An 18,170-nucleotide genomic window follows, 5' to 3' on the forward strand; every position below is an offset into this window, starting at 1 on the left:
CAATGATCTTTCAAAAAGGCAAATCTGATTATTTCACCCCTCCAGTCCCCACCTTGCTTAAAATTCTTCAAGGACTCCTTGTTGGCCTCAGCGTAATTCCCAAACCCTTTAATATAACTTACAAGACTCTCTGCTTGAAGAGGACTCTGCTCAATTTTTGAGTGTAGTATTTTACCACTCCAACTTACACTGTTTCAGATTAACTTTCAGTTAATTAACTTTTCAGTTCCTGGAATACATACATGTTCTCTCTCACTCAGTCTTCTACATGTTGTATTCTCTTTTCACTCTCTCTTTTCCTTGTCCACTGTCCTTTTATGAGTGAAAGAAATTGCTTTCCTGGCAACAAAGTTTGGGTTAGATCCTTTCCTACGCATTACAATTATATTCTGTTAATCCCTATCATAACATTGATTACTCTAACACAGAGTCTAAAGTCTGTGAAGGCAACGACTATATCTTCTTGTTCACTACTGTATCTTTGGTGCCTGGCACACAGTGTAAATTTTTAAAATGATTTAAAACTATGATTAAGTTTCAACTCACAGAAGAAGAAAAAAAGAAATTCATTTGAAAACTTTTTCAATTTTCTAATTTAATAGAAATAACCAAAACAATGTGGCTTTCAAACAAGGGTTTAAAACTAATCTAATACAACTTCTACAACACATTCCAGAGCATTATAACAAGAATTATTTACAGGCAGCTAATGTATTAAATAACCATGAAAAGAAAAAACTTGCTTTTATTACACACCAGCAAAAACACAGGAACGAAACAATTAGAAACTGCAACCTTGTTTTAAAAAATTAAATATGATTATTTAGAGAATACGATACCACAGAAACAGCACTTTTTAAGAATCATATTGAAGGGCAGTTAACTATGTGCAAAAATAATAGTACTAGTAGTAATAATAATAATGAGGGGAGGAGACCAATTGAAATACTGGAAGCAAGGAACTAGTAAGGCTGTGAATTTAACCCTTTCGTGTGTAGGTATGTCTACATAAAAAATTAACAGGCTTTCAAATTGCACAAATCTTTTTTTATAGGCTTATGTATATGTTTCACTGTGTTTTAAAATGTAGTAGATGCCTACATTTTTCAGAACAAGGAGCAGACATGCATTCCATCCTTAAGATTGAAATTTAGGCCACACTTGAAAGGGAATATTGCAGTGGCACTTACAAAATCATTTTGGTGCCTTCCCACACATAAATTTGGTGAATTTAAAAGAGGAGCATTTTTAATTTTAAAGATCACTTTCTAGAAAAGGGCTAAACTTAACTTTGTACACTTTGTAGTTTGATATGACAAATATATCCAAATTAACTTATTTTTGAAGATAGTTTTGTTTCTTCGATACAATAAAAAATATATAAAGGACCACATAGGCAAACACAAGGAACTAAGATGAAAGAAATGCTATACATGCATTTTGACCAAGTAAAAGAAACCATTATATTCAAGAGTACGTGTTGAATCTGAAATGTCTATGTAAACTGTGGCATATAAATTTTTTTCCTTAAAAAAGTACCTTCAATTTTTTTACTCAAACACTTACTTTTAAAAAAATATGCAACTTTCCCCAATTTTTAAAATAAAATGCCACAATATAGTGTCATTACTTCCAGCATACATTTAAATTTCTTAATTTTTAAAAGATAGACTGGGTGATATGCATACAAACTTTCCTATAAAATCACCATCCAGGAGAGGATTCTGACATGCTATTAGGCAACAGACTCAAAGCAGTGTTATTGCTTTATCAAGGAGGAGATTAACTGTGAGGGAAAAAAAATTAAATATCCAGGTCCGGTACATGATCAAACTGTATTACACCTTGAAAATCTTGAGTCACCTTCAGCAGATCATTAACATAGATGGTACAGAAATTAAGAATTCATGGTATGAATTAAGAATCTGTTTTAACTAAGGGAGTTGGGTGCGTGGATTTTTTATAAAACTACTCACTGATCCGATGCTGAGTATGCAAATAAGCAGTGCTGATTTTGACAAGAAATGAGATTTTTATATTTCACATGTTGTACATGAATGGGGGTGGATATGGGACGTAAAAGCCAAGGGAGACGGGGCCACAGCATCTACTCCCATTTTGGATAGTAAGAGACCATTTAATAACATACAGTAGGCCACAATCCAAGGGCATAGTTGGAAGACCTGAATCTATTATCTTATTAACACTAATCACTAATAATTACATGGCAGGATACCTGCTGAGGTAATTGATAAATCTACAATTTGCACACTTATAAACCTTTTACTTCTATTTAAAAGCATTATTTATTTCAATTAACTAAAAATTCCAAAACTTATCACAAAAAATGAGACAACTGACTTAGCATTACCTAAAATTCCCTTATGTTAAGATACAGAAGTCAGAAAGTACCAACTTGTTGATCCAAAAATAATAATTTCAATAGTGGATCCAATGCCTTATCATTTCTCTGTAGTAATGGTTTGATGTTTCCATATAGAGCACGACCTACAATCTAACCATACTTTAGAACTTTCACATGCTTTGCCTCATAAAGCAATTCCTTCACTCAGTGAATTGGCTGAGCCAAGTGCTGAAAACACAAATTTAGGTCAGCGGAACAGACTGAGCAACACTTTGTTCTTAGTTTTCTGATGGAAGAAGTAAATTGAAGTACAGCAAAAACTTTAAAAGCTTTTAAGAAAACATTATTATGTGGACTTTTCTCCAAATCTTCTAAAATACTGCCATTTAAAAAACAAATACAAATGTGAGAGAGTATAAAAACAAACTGCCTTCAGGGACTGACAGATACAATTTTGTCTTTTTAAAACATAAACTAATAGGAAAACATATATCTAAATATCAATTTAAGTTTTTATACTTTTTAACCATAGGTATATTAGAGCTGAAAAAATCAGCTTAGAAACACAACGATCAGTGTGCAAGAAAAAAGCTTTAATAAAAAATCTAAAGTGAATACCTTAATTTAATGGTGGTATGTTGATAGCTATTAATAGTAATTCCTCAGCAGTATACATTATCTTAACAGAAGTGGAGGCTATTAAATGTTGACAAAAAAGTGGCTTTTAAATTGCTTTAACCAATCTTAAAACCAAAAAAACCTAAAAACTCTATCTAACATGTAATTTTAAGGAAACACAATTATTTTTTAAGGCCCCAAATACTGAAAAATATTTACTTAAAATGTTTCTCCCCTCAGTTGGCAGAATCTATTTATGACTCATTATCTACAATTTTTTTAAAAGGATCCATTTGAAGAGCAATACAAAATATTAGAACTCAAAGGCCTGACAAAATGAAGTTATACTGCTGCTATTCCTCACTTTCCAAAAATGTGCCCTTAGATATATGTCTACTTACAAACTGAAATCATGGATTTTGTGAAAAAAGAGGGAAATTGGCATAGGCATAAGTATTTTTAAATAATTTTCTCCCTCTTATTAAAAAACATTTTTAGGAATTTAAAATTTGAGTAAAATGTTTCAACAGTTTGGTATATTTTCAACGGCTTAAATTATTTTTTAAAAATTGAAAGAAAAGTGAAAAGGAAGCCAGGAATAAAGTAAATCAATAGTAATAATAAAATCAATACTCTTTAAATACACAACCAGAAAGCCTGAATCATATTCCTGTTTACCCCCACCCCTTGTTAAGAAAAGAAAAACAACCCAAAGGAATTTGTATAATAATTTCTTTAGAGCACTTTATTTGATTCAATATGCATTAAAAAATATTGACCTCTTAGACAATTACGTGAAATAATTTTCTGAGTAGTCTACTCTCTGAACTGCTTAAATGAATTTTTAAAAAGGCAAATAAATGATTTGCCACAAATCTGCTGACTTCTGAAAAATATCTAACAGCAAATTCTTCTATTTTGGTCTCTGAATATTCTAATGTGTCCATACAAAAGTAGGACTAAAATCTTTAATCAAACAAAAGAGAAGCCTGTAACAGTGTAGAACACACATTTTGAATCTGAGCATCACAAATGAAGAAAAGAAAAATGAACCAGAGCCAAGTTGGTTTATCGGCCTCGGGTGCTGTAATTGGGGTGGTAAAGGTGGGTTTACTCCAGTAACCATTCAAGTGGGGATTGGCTCATTTTCAGGATTTACTTACAGGTCTCTTCTAAGTCCTTTAAGCCCCCAGTCCATGCAAATGTCCCACTTGGTGGACAGATGAGTAATCTAACCCCACCGGGTTTATTTCAATATTTCGATATTTCAATAATAAGCTGCTTCTGAAGATTTTTTGAGAAGTCTGTTCTCTATTAAAATAAGATAGAACCTCAAAATATGAATGTGAACATTAGAAATAGACAGCATATATTACAAATCCATTCTTGATAGGAACATTAGTAAGAATACACATTAGCTTAAAAAACAGGCTCAGCAAATGTTGCTGATCTGCCAAAAGTTTTAGTTCACTATTTACAAATAAGACAAAGTGAAATACAGAAAATTTTACACATTTGGTAGTTGACAGATACTGTTTGCCAATAGTGGTCTATCAGAAAACTGACATGAAGGAAGACTGGAAAAGAGCCAGTTGTCACCTTCTCAAATTTAAATGTACAGAAAACTAGATTAATTTTGAAACAAACATTCTGCCTTTCATGGGAATAACTGTATGATCACATGATTTGATTGGGAAGTACAATTGTGAGGAAGTGTTTTCTGGAAACAACTACTATAACTCTAAATAATCCACTAATGAAAAGTTACCATTTTTGTTTCAGTAGACCATTGAAGTTGATTAAATGATAACTAGTGGTAGTGTTTCCTAAACCCTAAGTATGAGTAGAAAATAAAACCATTGCTGAGTTCTTTATATCAATTTAAAAACTAAGACCCAACAGCATAAAAATGAGAAAAAACATAATGGCATGATTCAATGCAAATCTGCACTGACATTAAAGTAGAATCTGAGCTACTTGGGTTTTTAACTAGAAAACAACCTGATATGTATGTGTGTGAAGGGGGAGGGTTAAAAGTTGTTTTAATAACTGTGCGACCTAGTCCAAAAAGAAAATTTATCAAGTGACACGAGTCTCAAGTATTTACTCGTATACCAAGTATCCTGCACCAATCAATAGCACACAATCATCAATATTTGCCATTTCTAACAATCAGAGAATCATCTCCATTAGAACAGAAATCCTCAAATCATTTCACTTTTGCTTTTTGCTTTGAAACTTGCAAACAGACTTCTCTCCCCCTTTCTTGACAAGAATGTGTTTCTGTCCATTATTTCAATCTAATACTGTGTAAAAGCTATCAGCTTCTTCAAGGAGGTGCCCACTGTAGGCAGGATATTCCAGCAACACTTAAAAGTTTTCTGGGTTTTTTGTGTTTTTTTTTTTTTTTTCGTTTTTTTTTTTTTAAACAATTGATTTAAATCCATGTCATTTTACTTTATATGTACTGGTCTCTCATCTGACTTTAGGCGTTTTCTGCGGGGCTGTATAAAGTCTTCATCAGAGTCCTCAGTTACCTCACCATCATCCTCTTCCTGCTCAAACTCTGGCAAAGGTGCGAAGGTCCTGTCTGAGTAGATCTCTGTGAGTTTATCTTCAAAGTACAATGCAACTGCTTTCCCTGCCTGAGCTACTTCTGAATCAGCCTGCAAGCAAAAGATAGGAATATTCACCTATTGGTAATGCATATTCCTTCACCAAGTTTGCATGGTCTGAAAAGCTTACCTTCAAATTAATCTCTTGTGTGTCTGCATAAACTTGAACAACTTTCATCATCTAAAAAGGATACCAGAGTCAAAAAAAAAAAAGGGAAATTATAATCCTTTCTAAAGTTATGAGACTGCATAGGATTGGCGACGAAAAGTCAGCCATACTAGGGAGAACAAATTGCTATAACCAGATAAAGTGCTTTTCTAAAATTCTACAGAACATGGAACCATTTTCTTTACAAAGCCCTGTTACTAAAGCTACTGTGAAACCTCAGTAATTGTCTTATTTTGAATTATCAAGGTCAATCTGAATAGGAATTGGTCTGAACACATCAATCTATCCAAGAGAAAAATATTTGTGAAGCATATTATACAAGAAACGTTGCTTTAAAAAACTGACAAACTTTCAACAAACCACTTAATAAAAATTCTATCTGTATAGCAATATGTTAATCATAAACTATTTATTACTGAGGCAGGAAACATGGGTCTTCTTATCAACTATAGTTCATGAAAGCATATTTATTTGAAAATAATTTAACTGCACTGAAAAATAAGACAGAATTTGGGACTAAATATAACTTCAAACTAGTGAGATTTTACTAATATACTCTGTGCCATACTGCTATAAAGGTGACTTAGAATTTTCACCTTATGAGGATTTTGTTTTGTTTTTGATTTTAAAATGCCATCTGGATGCTTCCAGAGGCAGCTATAGGAATACGTTACAGGATCCAATGTGATTTATTTTAGTAATAATCATATGGCACCCAAATTACACCAGCAATAAAGAGACTTTAGTATTAATCTTTTAAAAGATTTTGTGGATTCTCATTAAATTCCATTTTCTTCTCCTACAATGAAACTCTTCCATAACAATAATAGAATCGATTTTATCCCTAATAAAAACAATTTCCCTGAAACAGGTATATAATACATTTCTTCTCAAGGCATGGCTAACTCAAACTTACCCTCAAAAAAAAAAAAAAAAACAAAACAAAACAAAACAAAAAACAAAAAACTCCCCAAACCAAAAAACATAACCAAAATTAATCAAAGTCACACTGCTGAAATAAGAAAACTTAGTATTATATACTCTGGGCTACTATTCAAGATGGGTCACCAGAGATTAGTTTGTTATTTTAAGGTTCTACATTCATGTTGTCAATAATAAAATGCAAGGACATGGGTACAGATAACTTTCCTAATAGTACCCAAAACGTAAGCTGTTTATAATCATATTCCACAAAATATACGTAACTACTGACAGTACTTTCCATACTTATGCCAATCCTCAACTCATTTAGAAAAGGATATTTGATAATATTCTTAATTTATTATATTTAAGTATATACTCCAAATTATACACAATAAATTTTCTTCACTGGAGCTGTTAATACAATCAGATGTTACTTTTGACAGGACTTTAGCAGAAAAAAAAATTTTAATAAAATTAAAGTCAGCAGAAAAATAAAACAAGGAAACAAACAAAAACTAACAAATCAAGACTCTATAGGTTGGAAGTTAACATACTTCATTAAACCTTTCACAGTTCTTGAAGATCAAACGGACATCGGCCACAAAGTCATCCGGGATTTGGTAGTGTTGGGAATGTTTTTTCTGAAGCTTCTTTTTCACGGTGGATAAATCCATTGGTTTCTTTATAATTTTATAGTAGTTTGGTATCTAAAATAAGCACATAATGGCAAATAAGAATTCTCCAAAAATGCCAAACTGTTTAATTTGAAAATGCATAGCATATTAATTTTAGGGAAAAAAATTATTATAGAGCCAGCTGCTTGCAAATTTTGAGTATAGACGTATGTACTTTACATCTTCATGAAAACCAAATCTTATGTGGCATATGTGCCAATCTTCATGGTTAGTCCAAGTCCCCAAAGTCCTACTTTTAATAATAAGATTTGGAAAGAAAGCAATTAGCAAGGGTAACCAACCAGTAGCCTTGAGGCAACATTTGACTTACCAGAATTTTATGACTCCTTAGGAGTTTTTCTTTTTTTTTTAAAGAAAAAAATTTACAAAATATATTAATGTTACAATTAGAATATGATGTCTTTTGGAAAACATAACAGGGAATATCATTTACATCACGAAGTCTTGACTTAGTAACAGAGGAAGTAAGACTAAGAACATAAGAAAAATTTACTAACTTTATTAACCATTTAGTGTTCACGCTAGGGAATTCTGACCCCAACTCTGGCGAAAAATTTCTACCCTTGGGATAAAAGTAAAGTTAGAGAAGCTATTTTATTGACTGATTGACTAATTGATTTTTGAGATGGAGTCTTGCTCTGTCGCCCAGGCTGGAGTGCAGTGGTGCAGTGGCGCCAACTGTGGCTCATTGCCACCTCCATCCCCTGGCAATTATCCTGCCTCAGCCTCCCTAGCAGTTGGGATTACAGGCATGCACTACCACGCCCGGCTAATTTTTATATTTTCAGTAGAGAGGGGGTTTCACCATGTTGGCCAGGCTGGTCTTGAACTCCTGAACTCAAGTGATCTGCCTGCCAGGCCTCCCAAAATGATGGGATTACAGGCATGAGCCACCATGCCCGGCCAAGAAGCTACTTTAATAGTCCATAAAAAGAAAACATTTGAAAGTCATTTTCTACTTTAAAATCCCTGCACTTAAAGATGAGACAAATTTTCCAGAAACAGATGATTACTGCTTGTACAAAACATCTTCCTTCTGTCTATACCTTTTGTGATTTAAAATTCATTTCTCAGGCTACCCAGTAAACAAGTCAACTACCATTTAATATTCTCTAACAGGCCTGGTATGTAATAATGTACTATTCAACAACTGATGGCTAGCAATAAAATGTGTGTAGAATATTCTTACCCCACTTATTAGGCACCAAACACCTCTAATCTTCCTTTTATTGCAGCATTTTAGAGCCTTTATTCCTTACAAAACTCAATGACTATAGACTATGCTAAATATTTTACATAGGTTATTTTATATAATCCTCAGAACAACCCAATGAGGTAAAAAATCGTGTCAGAAAACTTGAGTCTTAGAGAGGTTGAAGAGCTTATTCCAGAAGGCTGAGGTGTAATACAACTTAGTCTAAGGCCATACTCTTTTTTTTTTTTTTCTTTTTTTTTTTGAGACGGAGTCTCGCTCTGTCGCCCAGGCTGGAGTGCAGTGGCGCGATCTCGGCTCACTGCAAGCTCCGCCTCCCGGGTTCATGCCATTCTCCTGCCTCAGCCTCCGGAGTAGCTGGGACTACAGGTGCCCGCCACCGTGCCCGGCTAGTTTTTTGTATTTTTAGTAGACACGGGGTTTCACCGTGGTCTCTATTTCCTGACCTCGTGATCCGCCTGCCTCGGCCTCCCAAAGTGCTGGGATTACAGGCGTGAGCCACCGCGCCCGGCCGCCAGAGCCCATACTCTTAAGTATTATGAGACTTCCCCACCGAGCTACTAAGGTAGGCAACTCACCGAAGCAGGAACAGGCTCCTGGAATTCAATACTTAATTCATGGCAATAGAGGTAAAGCAGAAGACGTTCACATTTCTGGCCCAAACAAGGAAAGGAAAGCACATGAAATATTTTTCTCCTAATAAAACATTCTCGAGAATGAGAACTATATCACAACAAAGTTTGATTACAACAAACTGAACACAAGCCCCCTGTTTACTAGATACTCAACTAAACATAAACACCCAAAGAAAATTCCCTTGCTTCTCATTTTGTTTTCAGACTATCTTTTGTTCTACTTTAAGTAAGAATGGAAGATAACTAAGGTAATTTATGGAAGGGAGTCACAAAAGCAACATCTAACACTTTGTGCAAAAATTTATAAATTACTTGGTAATAAATAAATAAGTAAATAAATTATCACTGTTGCTCCTCATGGTAATTCCTTAGACAGGCAAGACAAATGTTGAAAGTTATCATCCCCTTTCTTCAAATGATTCCAGTCAGGTTCAAAATGAAAATGGCCTTCTCAGTCTAACTCCAAAAATATTTTTTTACCCAATCATGAGTAAACTGAAATGCATTTTACATTCACAGTCTTCTATTTATCTAAACTTCTTTTAATACAAGTTTGTATACCCTAAACACGTATCTTGTCTTCACAGATAGTGGATGAGGGTTTTTACCAGTATATACACCAGAGTAGAGCCAAACTTAACTCTAATGACCACACGACAATGCAAAAGAGTCTGTCTTTGGCAATCAGACTACAGGCCAGATTGGTAAAAATCTGAGTAAAGTAAGGAGAGAGTTTCCATTTTTAATATGATGAGAAGCTATTAGAGGATTTTAAGCAAGGAAATGATAGACTTGTTTACTTTTTTAAAAAGAACACTGTTTAATACAGAAAACAAACTATAAAGGTCAAGAGCAGAAGCGGGGAGAGCAGTTAAGAGATCACTACAATAGTCCAGATGAGAAATTATGATGTAAGGTAAGAAAATCATATTATAGTTATTATTATTTCATTTCTAATAGGTTTCTAACCTGAGCAACAGAAATGAATGGTGGTATCATTCAATTAAGGGGAATACTGGGGGAGGAATACAGTTTTTTATGTCGTTATTTGCTTGGTTTTGTGCTTGGAGGGAGAGGATTAGAAATTAAGATTTTAGTTGGGACATGTTAAGTTTGAGGAATCTGGATAGAAGGGTCTGTAGTTCAGGGTTAGAGGAAAAAAAGACTTCAGAAATCATCAATATACCATCAGATGACAGGATTAAAAATTAAATGTTATCAGGTTTTGTGTATGCTACACAGGAAAAAAAAAGGTGTATATATAGGCAGACAACTACTGAATCCCAGTGACAAATCAACTTATTTGACACTTACCCTTTGGTCCACGGGGCTTAACCCCTGCGCAGTTTTCCCCTTCTTACTATGTTGCAAATTATCACAATCATATTCAACTTCTGGCTTTCCAATATCTCTACAAAATGTGCATATCCAGTCCCCACTAGACAGGGAAATAGGCAATTAGTCCACGTAATTATAAGAAAGCCTGCTCTAGAGAAGCTACTTCCCTGGACTGGGGCCTGGTTTATTTTCTTAATAATTTTTTGAAAAAAGGGAGGTTTTATAGTTGTGAAATCTCGTCAGGTGAAGTCATGTGATTAAAAACTCCTCTAAATTTTCCTAGTCACGCATCAATTGATTACTTTCTGGAATGCATTATAAAAATGGCACCTCCGCATTAAAAGGGGGTCTCTTAGTAGTGATGAGCAGTACTTGCAGCATAAGGCCTAAGACCAATTCTCTCAGATCCCAGTATCACCATTATGTGGACTCAGTTATTTATGAAGAAGAAGAGCACAGGTTGCAGAGTTTCTCAGGTATCTTGTACTGTTTTGGCATGTATTAAAATGCCACAAGTAAATCAGTTCTTTTTTCGTGGTCAAAACCTAGAACACACAAACACATACCTGCAGGCACAAGCACATGTATATATACCTCCTTTTTTTTGGAGACAGAATCTCCCCCTTGCCCAGGCTGGAGGGCAGTGGCATAATCTTGGTTCACTGCAACCTCCGCCTCTCGGGTTCAAGCGATTCTTGTACCTCAGCCTCCCTAGGAGCTGGGATTACAGGCGTGCACCATCATGACCGGCAGATTTTTCTATTTTTTTTGAGACACAGTTTCACTGGGTCCTCCAGGCTGGAGTACACAGTGGCACGATCCTGGCTCACTCCAACCTCTGCCTCCCGGGTTCAAGCAATTCTCATGCCTCAGCCTCCTACGTAGCTGGGATCACAGGGGCCTGCTACCATGCCCAGCTAATTTTTGTAATATTTGTATGGGGTTTCACCATGTTGACCAGGCAACTCCTGACCTCAGGTGATCTGCCTACCTTGGCCTCCCAAAGTGCTGAGATCACAGGCACCCGCCACCATGCCTGGCCAATTTTTGTATTTTTAGTAGAGATTGGGTTTTTTCACCATGGTGGCCAGGCTGGTCTCAAACTCCTAGCCTCAAGTGATCCACCTGCCTTGGCCTCCCAAAGTGCTGGGATTACAGGTGTAAGCCACTATGCCCGGCTACCTCCTATCTTTTAACCCTGCCAAGTATATACTTTGTTTTTATCAGGATTTCTTATCAAACTATGAATTCTAAAATGATTCACTCCCTCTCTCTATATAAACAGATACATGGAGATATATAGAGAGATATATACATAGATCCTAAATCTAGGGATTGTACTAACCAATCTATTTGTTTTTCTTTTTTAGAGACGGAGTCCTGCTCTGTCACCCAGGCTAGAGTGCAGTGGTACAATCTCGGCTCATGGCAACCTCTGCTTCCCAGGTTCAAGCAATTCTCCTGGCTCAGCTCTCCGAGTAACTGGGACTACAAGGTGTGTGCCACCATGCCTGGCTAAGTTCTTTTTTTTTTTGTATTTTTAGTAGAGATGGGGTTTTGCCATGTTGGCCAGGCTGGTCTCAAACTCCTGACCTCAAGTGCTCCGCCTGCCTCAGCCTCCCAAAGTGCTGGGATTACAGGTGTGAGCTACCACACCTGGCTAATTTACGCCAACATTTTACAACCCTTTCAAAGCATTTGCTATTGAAAGAAGGCATTCAGTGGCAAAATTCTGACATTCCAGTAAATATTACTACCCAAAGAAAAGAAAATTCTTAATTTCAAGATCAAAGTGCCAATGCTTTTCTTTTCTAAATAAGAGTAAAGAAAAAGAAGGCCCTTATTACATCTCTAGCAAATAACTCTATCTCCAAAGACTTAGGTAAGAAATTACAATTCTTCAGAAAAATATTCTGGCACTGTTTAAATATCTACTAGTTTTCTAATCCAAAAGGTTAACACTTTCAAAGAGGGCACTATTATTCAATTAAAGTTACTGCTTCTCAGGAATTTGAGAAGATATATCTTTTTTTTTTTTTTTTTTCAATTTATAGCAAGAAAAAAGCTGGGTTTACCCCAAGAATACTGACTTACTTTCACCAAAAAGAAATTGGGGGACAAGAGAGGAAGGAGAAGACTGAAAAAAACAAGTATGACTCTACTATTTTATGGTCTCTGAAATCAAGAGACAAGAGGTTGCATGAACATAAAATAATAAATGGAAGGGAAGAACTACAGCTCTGCTAAACCAAAACCTACCACTTGTAGATGCAAAAACTGATCCCTGATAATTAGTGAATTGCTCAAGCTTACTACAGAATTAGAACCAGACTGCAGGTTTTGTAACCTTAGCCCCCTATTAATTTAGAGTTTTATCTATTTTCCTTATACTGAATATAAACTAAAGGCCAGGAGATGAAATCTACTCTTTAACATTAATGTACTACTTAGATCTTAGATATTTTATTGTTAGTTTCTCTGGAAGCTAATACCAAAAGAATAACAGGCTCCCTGTTTTATAGAAATACTATGCACTGGTTAGAAGGCCATCTGCCCTGAACATTCTTCTGTTATTTATTTTTAGCTTATGAAAATCAACACCAAAAATCAATTATTTCACTGGTACCTTGGAAAGCTAAGTAGTGTTGGAACATGACAAGTTAGATGAAAGACCTTTGGACATTTTTCGCAGCACAAGAGATCTCCTCCGTTTTGGCAGACAGCACACCAGTCTTCATTTGGGTCATCATCTTTATTGTTGCCATCTCCTCCAATCCTTGCCGACCTGTGCATGAGGCTTCGAATTGGGGACTTTCCATTAACAAGGCTGCTGAGCCCTGACTGTTTGCAGCTTTCATTCATATCTGCAGGTTCAATTTTCACATGGTTTTCCAGGCTTGCCAATGCATCCAATTCACTTTCTAGATGCAGGTTGGTTGAGAGAGGTGGTGTCAAGCTACTCTCAGGACTGCTCAACTAAAACAAAACGATGACAAATTCTTGAAGAATCATTTAATCTTTATTGTATGCCATATGTGTATTTAACAGTTATGTGAATATGCATATAGATATACTGACGTAACAAATTTATTTTATAGATCACAATAGTGCCATAAAGAAATGACAATAACCCCAAAATTATTCAGGCACGCTAACATATGATTTTAAGGGGTCTGCTCCTCTGATAATGTCTCACTCAAATAATAAGTAAATTAATTAAACTGTTAAGCTATTGATTGGGAAGTGAGCATAGGGTTATACTTTTCCTTGAGAGAGCTAATTATGGCACACCCCTTTTCACACCCAGAATCTTTTGCATAGCATTTTAGAAGCATTCTATAATATTCTTCTGCTCACCTATCATTCTACTATATTGTAGGAAGGCTGCAACAACATAAAAGAAATTGTTCACCAACCTTGGCACCCATTTTTTTTATGGGGGTACTTTCTAAACCAAGTTCTGGATGAAGACGTAACAATACTCCAAAACCAAGGCTGAATCTCTTGCTCTCTGAATCTATATATACTGTGTTAAATATACCAATACCTTGAGATGAATTCCCATGTGCCAACCATATAAAAAAGGAAAAAGAAGCCCGGTCAGAAAGAGAAAACAAAAATCAAAATATTTAAACCAAGAGGGGCTTGGCCTTCCTTCATTCTGTATTAGAAATTTTATAAATGTTCCACTCAAGGAACTCCAGAATGATTAGTAATACGTAAGCCAAAAGACAAACTTCCTATCACAAAACTCTGATCAATAAATTTCTTTCATGTCAGCAATCTTAATGCTGAGCTCACAGGTCCAGGAGAATCCCAAAGATCTTTTGTGGCCTGAGATTCAATGTGACTACTGAAATAATAATTTCAGGACAAGATACAATCTGATTTAGCATCATGGGAAGAATATTGACTAAATACAAATTCAAAGATAATTTCAAATGAGTACTTAATACAATTAAGTCTTTTCTGATTAATTACAGCTGACTCTTAGACAAAAAAGTTGAGTTAGAAAAAGAGATATCTGGCTTGTGCCAGGCATGAAATTTCAAAAATAAATGTTTCTAGACCCACTACTTAGTCTTAATATACTCAGAGCTGAAAGAATCAATGAAGTGATGTCCTTAAGTCCCTGTCAGACTCCAGTGGGAGCTTACCATGCAAGCACTCCTCCTGCCATCCTCTGTTTTTTCTTGTTTTACACCTCCTGAAAAGCTACATATTTCATCTTCAGTCCCAGGTTCTTGCTTGACCTTCACCTGATCAGATTTGAAACTAAGACTTGTCTTCTCAGCAGTTCTTCCTGATGACCCACAGCTAATAAGAAACAACAAATAAAGATCACATACGTTTGACTATATGGTATAAATAAAAACAATTATATGAAAAGTAATGTTCACTAAAGTGAAGACAATAGACAATTAACTTTACAGAAGATAAGGATACCTCATAATGTAGTTAAGGGGAATGTGGTATAAAGCCTAGCTTAAAACTCTTTAAAATTATGCAGCAACTTTCAGAAGACCCTAAAAACACATTTTATGGTTTGAAGCACTTTCTTCACACACACACACGCACACACACACACTCCTATTTCTTAGCTCTGTCCACTGAAAAGGCCTAAGAAACAATGAACAATTCAGTAGCAATGAGTGCTATTAGTACTAGAATATTATCCTCAAACACTATTTTCCTGCTTTCCTGCTAACACTACCAGAACTTCCTGGGAAAGTGGCTGATTCCAGGTCTGAAGCATGAAATGTACAAAATGAACCCGAAATGCTGTTTCACAGGAAACATGGAAGCTTAAAAAAGACTGCTGTGATTATAGCAAAAGGACTAAGGAGCAAGCCTGAGAAAGCTTTGACAGGACAAAGATGGAATAATGTTCAGTGTTCAATATACATACATACAGACGTAACATATATAATGGATTAAAATATATAAAGTATGTTTAAATATCTCAGTCCATAAAGGTAATAACAATAAAACTGTCACTGTTGGAGGGTGTTGGAAATCAATTCATTACCACAAAAGCAGGGAAATAAACAGAAAGAATTTATCCTATCTTTCCTATAACCCAATAGTTGATGACAGAAAGCTTCTCTTTACAGAAATATTCTAAAGAAATAAAGAATGATACAATAATTAAAATGTAATATTTCAACCAGCAGAAAAATAATAGAGCTAAACAATGATTATTAACGGTTGCCATCACAAAAACCCCCAACCAGGCATAATTCGCCCCAAAGGAAGTATATGCCACCACTACACTACCAAGTCTTCTTGCTCTCCCTTCCCCCAAATCAAACCTAAATCTGATCAACCCTCTTGACCTAAATACCAAAATAGACAGAAAAACAGGAGGCAATGTACTTAAATGACAAGATGGAGAAATCGGGAAAACACTGTAGGAGAAACTACATTTTTACAACAAATTAACTGATAGTGATGTAAACAAATAAACTGATGGCAATGTATAGAGCTTATTTGCATCTGATTCAAAGAAATCATCTGGTTTTTTTTTCAAAGGCATTTGTTGCAAAAATTGGGAACACTAAACATTAACTGGATCTCTACTGATATTAAAGAATGAGTTGTTAAATTTTTTTAGGTGTGATCATGGTTCTGTGGTTATAAATTTTTAAAGTTCCTTTCATTAAGTGATATATACTGAAACAGTCACGAGTGAAATGACTGAGATTTGTTTCAAAATAATTCAGACCAGAAAGGAATTGGCAGAAGTATAGAAGAAACAAGATTGGCCATTATTTGATCACTGTTAAAGCTGAGTGTTAAGTATAAAGGGGTTCACTGTAATATTCTACTTTTATTATACATATTTGCTATTTTTCTTAACAAAAAGGAAAAAAATAATTATCAATATACTCACCTGCCTCGACTGCCAGTACTAGAAGTACTTGGGGGTCTCACAGGTGTGTGAGAATTGGATAAACCTAAAAAGTAGTAAGTCAAAATGAATATCAATGCATATAAGAATATTTGGAATTCTACCTACCGGTCACAGAACTCAAGATTATTATAACCCAGCTAAAAAATTATTGGAAATCAGACCTAGTCACAAAGTCAGGGACGCATGTGTAACCATTAGCAGACATCAACCAGTTTCTCTCAGCTGTGTCCAGACATCACCTCAGAATCCTCCTCAGGGCACCACTATCCAGTCAACAAAACAGACCAAGAAAACGTTATCTGCCATCCCTCAACAAGTTATTTGATAAAATATTCTACTTAGGTTCCCATTAATTATTTTCAGAAGTCCTGAAATAATTCTTATTAAACCTTAAAAATTATGTGATTTAAAAATATGTTAATGTTGCATCTCATGGAAAATCCATATTTACATGTGAATTGTTCTTCCTCTAGAAAGAAGTAGGTGGTGTGTTTCAGTAAGAAAAAAATAACATTTAATTTACGTTAGAAAAATACATTCAATAACACTTCTAGACTGTTAACCTGTTTGGAGTTGCTTCAATCATGTATTCAAGAGTCCCAATTGAATCACTGAGTAATAGGGTTAATAAAACCGCTGGGATTTTGGAAGAGAGCTACATATCATGGCTATTTTAATAGTTTTCAGCAAAATGTTTATTTTAAAATTACAGTTTGAAAATTAACCTGCCCTTCTTTAGCTCTTACTTTTTAAATAATTTTTCAATGTTTCATTATTTTACTAAGTGTTTTAAAGTTGACTTGGAACCAAAGAACTCTTCAACTGACTCTGTATTGTAAAATATAAGATTAAACCCATGAAAGACTGTGAATATACTAAGGGTTGAGTAATTTGGAGTTCCAAATAGTGTAGACTACAGATATATATTAATATGGCTTCAGTTACTGAAAGAGTACCAATAGTATTTGAACAAAAATAATTACAAAGAACAATCAAGAAAAAAATATGTTATTGTGTCAACTTGGCTAGGATATGACACCCAGCAGTTTGGCCAAACATCAGTATAGATGGTACTGTGAAGGTATTTTTTTAGATGGGATTAATTAACATTTCAACAAGTTGACTTTGAGAAAAGTAGATTATATTCCATAATGCAAGTGGGCCTCATATAATCAGGTAAAGCCCTTTTAAGAGAGAAGAGAAGACGGAGCCCTGTTCTCTCCCCTACCTCCTCATGCCCCAAAGAAGAAATTTTGTCTCAAGACTGTAACAATACTCTTACCTGGGTCTCCAGCCTGCCTCACCTCCCTGCCAACACCCACAATCACATGAGCCAATTCCTTAAAATAAATCTCTCTCAATCTCCCTTTCTCTCTTCAAGTAGACCTCCTACTTATTCTGTTTTTCTGGAGAATTCTGACTAAGACAGATACTGACACTGTTTTTTTAAGGTGTTAAAAAATAAGGTAATACCCGTTTGCTTTACCTGATGATCCCGGAGAAAGGGCAGAGGGACCTGGAGAAGGATTCATGGTGCTTGTAGGCTGTGGGGGTAGGTGACTGCCTGAGATGTATCTACTTAGTAGATTATCTAAACTACTTGAGCCAGCATCTTCCAACTGAAGAGAAAGAAGATAAAGACAAATTTGCTTTGATTAAAGCAGAGAAGTTATTAATTTTATGT

At 35.1% G+C, this 18,170-nt stretch overlaps 1 protein-coding gene across 6 annotated transcripts in view; it reads right to left on the reverse strand.

The window, feature by feature from the left end:
* The window catches only part of TRIM33 (tripartite motif containing 33), a 118,414-nt gene continuing 100,822 nt past the window's right edge, over nt 579-18,170 (reverse strand). For 3 of the 6 annotated variants that reach the window (NM_015906.4, XM_011541568.4, XM_005270936.5), the window contains 9 exons: nt 17,973-18,105; nt 16,466-16,529; nt 14,730-14,889; nt 13,199-13,548; nt 10,549-10,672; nt 9,178-9,252; nt 7,246-7,398; nt 5,729-5,779; nt 579-5,649 (listed from right to left, as the gene is read on the reverse strand). In NM_015906.4, coding sequence (NP_056990.3) covers nt 5,437-5,649; nt 5,729-5,779; nt 7,246-7,398; nt 9,178-9,252; nt 10,549-10,672; nt 13,199-13,548; nt 14,730-14,889; nt 16,466-16,529; nt 17,973-18,105 — 1,323 coding nt within the window. In that variant the 3' untranslated portion in view covers nt 579-5,436. The remainder of the gene's footprint in view (nt 5,650-5,728; nt 5,780-7,245; nt 7,399-9,177; nt 9,253-10,548; nt 10,673-13,198; nt 13,549-14,729; nt 14,890-16,465; nt 16,530-17,972; nt 18,106-18,170) is intronic. The other 3 variants (NM_033020.3, XM_047422512.1, XM_005270937.5) reach the window with 1 other exon arrangement.

Source organism: Homo sapiens, chromosome 1 (genome assembly GCF_000001405.40).
Source record: "Homo sapiens chromosome 1, GRCh38.p14 Primary Assembly".
Taxonomy (NCBI): Eukaryota; Metazoa; Chordata; class Mammalia; order Primates; family Hominidae; genus Homo; species Homo sapiens.